The sequence below is a fragment of the Homo sapiens genome, chromosome 4 (assembly GCF_000001405.40).
Source record: "Homo sapiens chromosome 4, GRCh38.p14 Primary Assembly".
NCBI lineage: Eukaryota > Metazoa > Chordata > Mammalia > Primates > Hominidae > Homo > Homo sapiens.
Genome location: NC_000004.12, coordinates 31,992,244 through 32,004,190, shown reverse-complemented (window position 1 = coordinate 32,004,190; position 11,947 = coordinate 31,992,244). Strand labels below are relative to the sequence as shown.

Sequence of the window (11,947 nt, the reverse complement as noted above, 5' to 3'; positions counted from 1 at the left end):
ATTAATCAAAAAAGAGCAGATGCTGTTAATTCCATGGCTGCAAGGAAATAAATTCTGCCAACAGCTTTGTGAGCTTGAAAGCAGACCCAAGTCTCAGATGAAATTGTAGATGAGATTCAGCCTCATGATACCTGGATTCGAGGACCCAGTCAAGCTGTGCCCAGACTCCTGACTCTCACAAACTGTGAGAGAGTAAATTTATGTTGTTAAAGATGGTAAATTTATGTTGTTAAAGATGTTAAATTTGTGGTAAATTGTAATGCAGCAATATAAAAGTAATACAACAGTGTCTTAGTCTATTTGGGCAGCTTTAGTAAAATATCATAAACTGTGTGGCTGATAAACAACAGAAATGTATGTCTTACAGTTCTGAGAGGTGGGAAATTCAAGATCAAGGGACATGCAGATTGAGTGTCTGATGAGCACTTGTTTCCTGGGCTGCAGATGGCACCTTCTCGCTTTGTTCTCACAGAGTGAAAGAGACTAACTCCTTCAGGGCTGTTTGGCAAGGACATTAATTTCTTTCATGAGGGCTCCTTCCTCATGATCTAATCACCTTCCAGAGATCCTACCTTTTAATAATATTACACTAGGGATTAGTTGTCAGCATATGAATTTTGGAAAAATATAAACATTCACTCCATAGCAACTAGTAAATAAAGATTTATTTATTGTTGGCAGTTGCTTTTTTTACTTTTTTTTAAACCCGAGTTATCTTTCTCTGAGTTTAGCTTTATTATATATTTGTTAAATGTATTTTAAAAATGTTTTCCTAAGATAGTTTGAATTGAAGGTACACTCTTTGGATTTCTTGCATATCCTTAAATATTTTTCACTCCGATAGGTGATAAATTTCTAGACTACATAATGGATTCTTGAGTTGAAGTTCACTCATTTAACAAGTCTGACTGTGCTTATCTAATGTTTTCCCATTTTTCAAATGCTTTCCCATTTTTCAGGAGCATTCAATCAACCTGTCATTTAACAAATATTTATTGACCTTATAATTTCAAAATAAATGTGTATTTTAATTATTTATTTAGTGCCTCTTCTCCCTTATTTTGTTCCCTCTTCCTAAAGCTTCTATATTTTGCCTCAGTAATTCAAATAAGGATATTGTCTTCCTATATGAGCCTATTGTTTCAGATACGTTCAAGGCAGAAAGTATTAAATTGAGAAAGTGAACCAGGAAGCCAAGAAAGTGAAGAAATAAAGCAGAGTTAAAAACAATATCAAGACACATGGAACAGACAGAAAGAAAACAGTTTAATATACTTCTGACATTTATTGGAAACAGCATTGCCAAGGAAACCATGAATCTGAGCTTAAAAAGTTTTTGATTGTGACAGTTTAACTTCTAGAAAAATTATCAGACAACCAAACTTGTACCATCAAGAAGTGGGCTATAAAAGTTCTTCAAATCCCAGAGGAGCTGCACAATACTTCCCACATATTGCTTTGGATTTAGCCATGCAACATCACAGTCAAGGAAGAATCTCCCAAAACTGGGGCCGTGAAATACATGGACAAGTTAGTTCCTTCTGTCAGGTAGAACCGGGATTTAGTAAAGACATTCCCTCTGCTGCCAAGGTGAGAGGTCGCCACAATGACTAAGCAGGATTCGATTATTCCTAAAAACCAGGCAATGCTGGGTGTTTCCCATTTTAATTAAAAACAATGTTTTGAATGGGAATTATGACTGTGGATATTATGTCCCTATTCTAACAACATTGCATATTGTACATGTGTTTATGTGTGTTTATATGTCAATGGACAAGGGGGAAAAGAAAAGAATTTCATTTAGAGTATAGATACATTTGTTTTAGAACAGATAAAGGAGGAAAATTATGGATACAAAAATACCATAGGACAACAATACATCTTCTTTTTCTATGGCCGACGAAGAATCATAGGTTTTTGCAGAACTATGATATGATCAGATCTGACCTTTGGGGAGACTTATTTAGAAGCTGTGTGCACTAGATATGAGTGAGAGGAGCCTGGAGAGCTGTGTGCACTAGATATGAGTGGGAGGAGCCTGGAGACAGACTGTGAGCTAGCTATCTTTAAGGCAAAGTGTTAGTTATGTATCTTAATTTCTAGTCTTTCCCAATAAACAGTTAAAGATGACCTAATATTCTGTATTCCATGAGAGAAATCAAGATAGTAATATGTATCTAAAATCTGTGTTCTCTTAGAATAGTACAATTGTTTACCTTTATGTTGCTTCAAAATTATTTAACTCGTACTTGAATGTCTATAGCTTTATCACTCTAGCTATATCACTCACAAACTACATAGAATATGTGCATTTTCATTTTCTGGCTCTATGTATGTTTAATAGCACTTTTTAAGAAAAATATATTTTCTTTTTTATTATTATTTTATATATTTTTTATTTCAGTGGGTTCTTGGGGAACAGGTGGTTTTTGGTTACCAGGATAAATTCTTTAGTGGTGATTTCTGATATTTTAGTCCACCCATCACCCAAAGAGTGTACACTTAGGTTGAAATAGCCCCCTTTAATTTTATTTTATATTTTTGCATTTTGTGGAATTTATAACTCATTATTTCCACCTTGTTCTCATTTTACAAATGCCAACAATTTCTTTCAATTTTTGAATTATTATTATCAGAAAAAATGATAATACTTCTGTTCTTCCACAGGTAGCAGAATTTTATCTTGGAATGAATATGGATGTTGGTGTTTGTCTCTGCTCTACTTATCTATTCTTGCTTAACAAACTTCTCAAAATGTAGCGATTTAAAACAGCTATGTTTTGTAGCTCATAATTTGGGGAGCCAGGAATTCAGGCAGAGCTCAGCTGAGTGATTCTTCTGTGCATTTGGTGTTGACTGTGTCACCGCGATATGTGGCTAAAGACTAGGCTACTCTGTAGGCTCTGAGACAGCTCCACACACATGCCTGTAAACTTGAAGAGAGAGTAAGAAAGCTGGTATCAGATAGGTGCATCTTCCTTTAGGTCTCAGGGCCTCTCTAAATGTTTTCTCTGGCAGGAAACCTGGTTAAGTTGATGTTCAGCTTTCCAAGAGTAAGTATTTCAAGAGCAGGGAATAGTAGTAGCTCTTGTAATCAGGGCCTAAACACTGGCAAAGCATCACTTTCACTGGTTAAAAAAAAATCATGGAAACCAGATTCATGGTGAAAGGAAATGGACTTCGCCTCCCAATAAGAGGCATAGAAAAGAATTTGTGGCATCTTTAAAGTATCAGTGTCAGAACTGTTAGGTAATATCTTCAGCAGCTAACTAGCTTTTGACATTGGGTGACCAGATTATAGTTTCCTTAATCCATAAAAGAATATAATTTACCCATGAAATTGAATTTTTCAGAGTTAAATCACAGCAGCATACTACCTTTCCCAGAGAAAATGCTCAGCGCATCTCGAGTTTTCTTCCCATTGTCTTCACTCTATCTTATGCAGGCATTATCTTAACTAGATTATTTTATTTTCCTTTTCTGAATTTCTACAATTATATAAAACATTTATGTTATTAATAAAAATATTTTGTTTTTATTCTTGTGATGACATACTATTAGATTGTAAACAGACTTTTGTCCAGAGATTATTGAAGTAAGAAAATTTCCTATGAAGTACATGGCCCAAACAATTTTTAAATAAAATAAAATTCTCTATCCTGAGATTAAAAAGCAGTTACGGTGCTTCACATTTTTGTCTGCAGTAAACCTAGTTATGGAACAAGGCAATTCCTTTAAGTAATGGAAAATTGAATTATCTAATATGGCCTCTGGAATGCAAATACTAATGGCAGTCAGACATTTTCTAAGCCCAACTTATTAAAAAACATTTAATAGAGATAATTCAAATAGGTCTATGGTGGATATAAACCACACAGAACTATCTTGAATCAAAGAAAAATATATATCATATATGATCTAAAATAGGCAATGTGCTTTTAAATATATTAATACTAGTTGACATGAAAATTGAAAAGTTCATGTAATACAATGACTTGAGATGAGAGCTCTTACATTCTCTGGTACATTCTTCCTAACAAGCTTAGAGGAAATTAAATTTACAAGACAAGCTTTCCGTCTGTGAGTTTATCATTCTGCTATACAATTAAGATTGCAGATATCATCTCTCTTCTTATTAAATCCTGTAAATGTGCCCAGAGGGTACTGCAAAGGGAATATCCACAAAATGAGATCAAGAAATACATAAATAAAAAATGTGAGTTTAGTATTCATTACTCATGATTTCCAAAGTGTGCATGGAGAATGAGCAGAACATTTATACTCATTCTGCTTTACTAATATTGACCTAGTAGAATGTTTTCAATACAACATTGTGATGTTAGGGACTGTGGGCAGAAAAGAACTTAGAGGTCACTGGCCCAGGACTTTCATTTTACAGATGAAAAATAAATAAATAAACAAAAACAAGCAAACAAAATTCTGATGCTCAGAGAAAGAAAACCACCTTCCTGAAATTTAAAAACTTAGTAAATTACAGAGCTGAAACTTTAATCTGAGTATATAAGTTTTAAGTATGTTTTAAGTTTACAATTATCTTCACTAATTCATTCTAATTGTTATTCTGAAATTTATTAACACGATAACATACATTCTAATATTATAAATTGCCTTTAATCTACCCTGATGGTTCAATTGGTAATGTGATAACCTGTATTGTCATGAGAACTAAGGTCTCTCTCTCTATTAAATATATATAAATCTATTCTTTCCTCCCACAATTAACAATGATGAAATTGCATTACTCAAATAATAATTTGTCATCTGATTTTTTAAAAAAACTTAAAATTAAACACTTAAATACTTCAACTTTCAACTGAAACAAGATTAAATATTAAACAATGATCTCAGAATGCCCAGAGCCACAAAATACAATCAGAAGCATGTTTTTTTTTGAAAATTTTAAAAATGAAAGCTAATTATATTTTCATATATTGTGATTAAACACACAGGATAATATATAAGACAAACCTGAATTATAATCCCCTTTCCTCTTAATAATAAAATGATGCCTAACAGTTAGTTAGTCTAGTTAATTCTCCGTTTCATTATCTATATTCGTAATTACATATTCTGCACTTTGGGGGGGAGGGGCAGGTGTGTGTGTGTGTGTGTGTGTGTGTGTGTGTATGTGTGTGTGTGAGAGAGAGACAGAGGCAGAAATAGGGAAACAGGAACAAAGACAAAGATTGCTCAGTGATCAGAACCCACTAAATTTTGAGCAGGCAGCATGCCATAATGGTTTAGCTTTTGGTTAGAGTTTGGCAGTCTGCAGTTTGAATGTTGTCTTCATCACACCAGAGTAGGATACCACCTTAGGAAGAAAAAAATTAGTTTTTTGAGTCTGCTTCCTTGTGGGGATAATTGCAGTGCATATCTCTTCGGGTTTTTACAAGGATTAAAAACAAATTTCTCATTTAAGATGGACTCAAAAAAGTTAATGTACTATTTTGTAACCAAGAAGTATATCAGAGCCAAAACTCTCAACATGCATTATACACATTCAAGAGCTTGCTTAATTATCATTTTTTGCTCAATAATACTGTTTTTTCCATAAGGGACTAACCATTTATTTTGTCAAAAAGTCTAATTTTTTAGAATCTCTGTTACTATTAATAATTATCTGGGTATGGAATTTGTAGCCATATTCCAAAAATAGTATTTAAATTTACACTAAATTCAAATTTAGCCCTGTCTGGTTCAAACACAATCTTTTTACGAAGTATAATGCATTATAATTAGAGTTTACTTATAGAGAACATTAAGATGTTCACACTGGTAAAACAAAACGTCCGGATTTTTTTCTTAAACTACAGAAGTTAAGTCCAGTTTTTAGAAAGAAATGATAATATTGAAATATTATAGGTATTCGAAAAATATATAAAATTATGGAATTTAGTATATGAGGATTCAGCTTAATTTGGCCCCCTGAAATTGTGATAAACACTGCTCTGATGGAGAGAACATATATTCACCCATTCAGCAAACATGAAGTAATGCCTATTATGTCCTAGGCAGTTTTCCAAACACCAAAAAATAACAATGAATAAGATACATCCCCTATTCCAATATTTCTTTCAGATTTATGAAGGAAATCGATATAGAAACAGGTGTGATAGGAACTTGAATAATGAGCACATACCACATAAAACGTCTTTCTGAGCCCACTTTGCCAACTTTGCTTGAACAAACAGGACAAAGACTTGACTTTGAAACTGCAGCCATTTTGAGAAGTGGCACTTGGCAGTTAGATTGTCTCTGGGCACATCATGTGGACAGAGAGGAATTTATTCAAGAACAGTGGGGCCAGAAAGACTCTCCACAGATTAACAGTAAAGACAGTATCTTACCTTTGTCTAGGAGCTCCCCTCTGCCTTTGGTAGTGTGTCTGGAATTGGTGGGTTCTTGGTCTCACTGACTTCAAGAATGAAGCCGCGGACCCTCGCAGTGTTGCAGTTCTTAAAGGCGGCGTGTCTGGAGTTTTTTCCTTCTGATGTTCGGATGTGTTTGGAGTTTCTTCCTTCTGGTGGGTTCGTGGTCTCTGGCTCAAGAGTGAAGCTGCGGACCTTCGCAGTGAGTGCTACAGCTCTTAAGCCGGCGTGTCTGTAGTTGTTCCTTCCTCCCGGTGGGTTCGTGGTCTCCTTGGCTTCAGGAGTGAAGCTGCAGACCTTCCCGGTGAGTGTTATAGCTCATAAAGACAGTCTGGACCCAAAGAGTGAGCAGCAGCAAGCTTTATTGCAAAGAGCAAAAGAACAAACCTCCCACAGTGTGGAAGGGGATCCAAGGGGGTTACCACTGCTGGCTTGGGCAGCCTGCTTTTATTCTCTTATCTGGCCCCACCCACATCCTGCTGATTGGTCCATTTTACAGAGAGCAAAGTGGTCTGTTTTGACAGGGTGCTGACTGGTGCCTTTACAATCCCTGAGCTAGACACAAAGGTTCTTCACGTCCCCACCAGATTAGCTAGATACAGAGTGGGGACACAAAGGTTCTCCAAGTCCCCACCAGAGTAGCTAGATTCAGAGTGTCAATTGGTGCATTCACAAACCCTGAGCTAGACACAGGGTGCTGACTGGTGTGTTTACAAACCTTGAGCTAGATACAGAGTGCCGATTGCTATATTTACAATCCCTTAGCTAGACATAAAGGTTCTCCACCTCCCCACCAGAGTAGCTAGATACAGAGTGTCAATTGGTGCATTAAGAAACTCTGAGCTAGACACAGGGTGCTGACTGGTGCATTTACAATCCCTTAGCTAGACATAAAGGTTCTGCAAGTCCCCACCAGACTCAGGAGCCCGGCTGGCTTCACTCAGTGGATCCCCCACCGGACTGCAGGTGGAGCTGCCTGCCAGTCTCGCGCCTTGCGCCGGCACTCCTCAGCCCTTGGGTGGTCGATGGCACTGAGTGCCGTGGAGCAGGGGGCGGCGCTCGTTGGGGCGGCGCTCGTTGGGGCGGCGCTCCTTTGGGAGGCTCCCGCCGCACAGGATCCCAACGGAGGGGGTGAGGCTCAGGCATGGCGGGCTGCAGGTCCGGAGCCCTGCCCTGCGGGGAGGCAGCTAAGGCCCGGTGAGAAATCCAGCGCAGCGCTGGTGGGCCGGCACTGCTGGGGGACCCAGCACACCCTCCGCAGCCGCTGGCCCGGCTGCTAAGCCCCTCATTGCCTGGGGCCTTTAGGGCCGGCCGTGCGCTCCCAGTGCGGGGCCCGCAGATCCCACACCTACCCAGAACTCGCGTTGGCCCGCAAGCACCGCGCGCAGTCCGGGTTCCCGCCCACGCCTCTCCCTCCACACCTCCCGGCAAGCTGAGGGAGCCGGCTCCGGCCTCGGCCAGCCCAGGAAGGGGCTTCCACAGTGCAGCCGCGGGCTGAAGGGCTCCTCAAGTGCCACCAAAGTGGGAGCCCAGGCAGAGGAGGTGCCGAGAGCGAGCGAGGGCTGTGAGGACTGCCAGCACGCTGTCACCTTTCAGTGGAACCAGGCTAAGTAGAATGGTAATCTGGTGGTTCTCACTGAAAGTATCTCGCCTTTGTCTAGGAGCTCCCCTCTGCCTTTGGTGGGACCAGGCTAAGTAGAATGGTAATCTGGCGGTTCTCACTGAAAATACCAGGGTTCTAGCCTCATTTGGTCACTACTCAGTAATGGAAATGTTAGTGTAAAAGTTACATGTAAAGAGCCTTTTATATTGTCTTTCACATAAATATTCTGTATGTGGTGATGATAATTATTACCCATGTCTTGAATTATTATTTTTTTTGCTTCAAATTAAAAAAACGCCTAAAGAATGAATGAGGTTGTCAAGAAGATTAAATAAGTAGCACTTTTACTTTGACATGCTTTCTAGTAATATGTTTCCATATATTATATACAAATAAGAGGATTATTAGAACAATATTATTTTCTTCATCTTAAATATGAGGAAACTAAAACTAAGAGAATTTCAGCTACCTCATCAAAGTATTATATCTAGTTATATCTTTGACGTAGTAAAGTAATTTAAACCATATTATTTGTTTCGGCACACTTTGTCAACTAAAGAAATGTTTGAGAAAGTTAACATGACATTTTTCTATGTAGTTTTTATTCATTCTGTTAAAGTCTGAAACTAGCAAAAGAACAAAAATGTCATCTTTATGACTGAGATCTCAGAGTTAAAACAAAACGCGGTGGCCATGCCTGGGTGAGGGAGCAGCCAGGTATTCTGTGTTCTTAGAAAGATTTTGCAAAAGTATCACAGGATCTCCCTTTCTACAATCAAGGCAAACTAGTTCCCATGGTGGGTGCTGACATAGGATACTCTGCAGCTGAATATTCCCCAAATGATCATCAACAGAACACCTGGTGCCAACTGACCAAACACCTGGAACCGACCAATTAAGAGTGACTAGTGATTTGGGGGTTAAAGGCCATCCAGTCAAGACCCTGTTCCTTACCCTGTTACCTATCCTGCCCTGCCCTGCAGTTCCTGCCTTTATAATCTCTAACTCTCTACCCTCCACCCCCTTCAAAGCATGCTTTCATTTTACACTGCAGGCTACATCTCGCCAACCTGCAGATTGTTTTTAATAGGAATAAAATTCTCCATTTCTTTTTCCACAGATCTCATGATCTTTTGTTAACAATTCTTTCTTTCACTATAATTTGGGGTGTGGGGAGGGGGACCAGATGACCAACATGACAAATGAAATAGCTAGTAAGTTAGGTAGAGATACTTGCTAAGGAGAAAAATAAATAAATAAATAAATAAATAAAGGAGGAAAAAGAACAGGAAATGGTGTGGGTGGATTTCAGTTATACAAAGGATGGTCAGAAAAAGTTTCACTCATCAAGGTGACATTTGAAAACTACAGAAAGTGAGGAGTGGTCCAGAAACACTCCAATCACAAAGACCCAGAAGTTAAGAATGTGCTGGTTATTTTTAAGGAATAGCAAAGTAAACAGAAACAGAAAGAAATTTGAGGGAGAGAAAAATCAGAGATGAAGTTAGAAAGTTAACAAATGAGAGGGAGAAGGTTGATATTGTTAGGCTTTGCTTTTTTTCTTTTTTCTGAGTAAAATTGGAAAACAGTGTAAGACTGAATTTATAGCATAATCTTGCAATGTTGTGTACAAATCTAGTTCAGGCCATGATGGCAAGTGGGGAGTAGGACAGACCTCACTGTACCCTCCTCCTATTGGAATTCAGGCACAACTGACCAGCATTAACATTAAAACAGAGATCTTAAGACAGACAAAACAGACTCTTGTGTAGCGATAAGACACCGAATTCCAACCTGACTAGTATAGATTGCAGACCCTGAAAGACATTAAAGTATTTTTACTCAAAATATATTTCTTTGACAAATTTTGAAATGGCCCTGGAAAGCTACCTTGTAGGGAAAATTGAAACATCTTTGCAAAAATTATAACTGAGAAAATTATCATAGTGAGGTCGGGTGCAGTGGCTCACGCCTGTAATCCCAGCACTTTGGGAGGCTGAGGCGGGTGGATCACGAGGTCAGGAGATCGAGACCATCCTTGGCCAACATGGTGAGACCCCCGTCTGCTAAAAATACAAAAAAAAAATAGCTGGGTGTTGTGGTGTGCTCCTGTAATCCCAGCTACTCAGGAGGCTGAGGCAGGAGAATCGCTTGAACCCGGGAGGCAGAGGTTGCAGTGAGGCCAGATTGTGCCACTGCACTCCAGCCTGGCAACAGTGAGACTCTGTCTCAAAAAAAAAAAAAAAAATTATTATAGTGAAAGAGATCTGACGTAACTGAGTCCGTCTTGCTTCTAACCTCCAAGCTGTCCTTGTTTACTCCTGGAAATAGGACAAACTAACTTTAGGAGGATCTTAGTTTGTCGTTTAACTTTAAAACATAGATAACAACCCTTTCCCAAAACAAACCCCCTTCCTGCCTGGGGACTAAATACCCTTTGCAGGACTAACAAATTAGCCACAAGTTTAGAAATGGTTTAGGAGTCATGCAGCTGGAGGCTGCAGGATTCTGAACCTCCTCCTCAAATTGCTCCTGGGGATAACCTCACTGTTGTAAAACCTAAAATCAGTGCTTGAGATATTTTGCATACCCTGTATGTGATGGCGCACCCAGCACCACCCAGATCCAAAAACTGACTTACCTGGTATTGTGGCCTCTACCCAGTAATTGACTCAGCACAAGACGACAGCTTCAACTCCCCGTGATTTCCTCTCCAACCTGACCAATGAGTACTCCCTACTTTCTGACCCCCTACTCGCCAAATTGTCATTAAAAACTCTAACCTCCAAGTTCTGGGGAGACAGATTTGAGTAATAATGAAACTCCACTCTCTTGCACAGCCAGCTCCATGTGAATTAAACTTCTGTATTGCAAAATCTCTTTCTTGATAAATCAGCTCTGTCTAGGCAGCAGGCAAAGAGAACCCACTGAATGGTTATAAAATCTCAATTTTGTCTAGAATCCTCTTCCCTTTTCAGGTCTTTCTCTGACTCAAGAGAGAATTAACTAAGAGTCTGGCACCATCTTAGGTCTGATGAGAGCTCTGAAGCCTGCTACCTGGAGGCTTCATCTACATGATAAAAACTTGGTCTCCAGAACCTCTTATCTTAACCCAAATATTCCTTTCTGTTGATTTCAGGTCTTAAAATAATAACTCTTTCAACAAATTGCCAATCGGGCAATCTATTTTTTTTTTTTTTTTTTTTTTGAGACGGAGTCTCGCTCTGTCTCCCAGGCTGAAGTGCAGTGGCGCGATCTCGGCTTACTGTAAGCACTGCCTCCCGGGTTCACGCCATTCTCCTGCCTCAGCCTCCTCAGTAGCTGGGACTACAGGCACCTGCCACCCCGCCCAGCTAATTTTTTGTAATTTTTAGTAGAGACGGGGTTTCACCGTGTTAGCCAGGATGGTCTCAATCTCCTGACTTCATGATCCGCCCACCTCGGCCTCCCAAAGTGCTGGGATTACAGGTGTGAGCCACCGCGCCCGGCCCAATCAGGCAATCTTTAAATTCACCTATGACCTGGAAGCCTCCACTTCAAATTGTACCACATTTCCTACCTGAACCAGTATACATTATGCATGTATTGGTTGATGTCTTATGTCTCTCTACAACACTACAACATGTAAACCAAGCTGTAACCTGACCAACTTGTGCACATGTTCTCAGGACCTCCTGGGGCTGTGTCATGGGCCACTGGTCATATATATTTGGCTCAGAATAAATGTTTTCAAGCATTAAAGACAAAAGTCCTGGAATTCTCTAGAGAGGAAAAGAGGAGAATGGTTTTAGTAGGCTTAAAATAATTTAAGCCATACATTTTTGCTATAAAAAACAGTTGGTATATTAATAAAGTTGTACTGTGAACATTATAAACAACACCTATGGCTTGCCTGACTAGACTAAACATACTTATGACCATTTAAATCCACACTTGTTTGGAAATATAGGATGTT

The 11,947-nt window shown here is 39.2% G+C and overlaps 1 long non-coding RNA gene across 1 annotated transcript in view; it reads right to left on the bottom strand.

The window, feature by feature from the left end:
- The window catches only part of LINC02506 (long intergenic non-protein coding RNA 2506), a 158,028-nt gene extending 151,216 nt beyond the window's left edge, over nt 1-6,812 (bottom strand). Inside the window, exon 1 of the long non-coding RNA NR_125936.1 lies at nt 6,369-6,812. This is a non-coding gene — a long non-coding RNA (long intergenic non-protein coding RNA 2506). The remainder of the gene's footprint in view (nt 1-6,368) is intronic.
- Between the last annotated feature and the right edge of the window lie 5,135 nt (nt 6,813-11,947).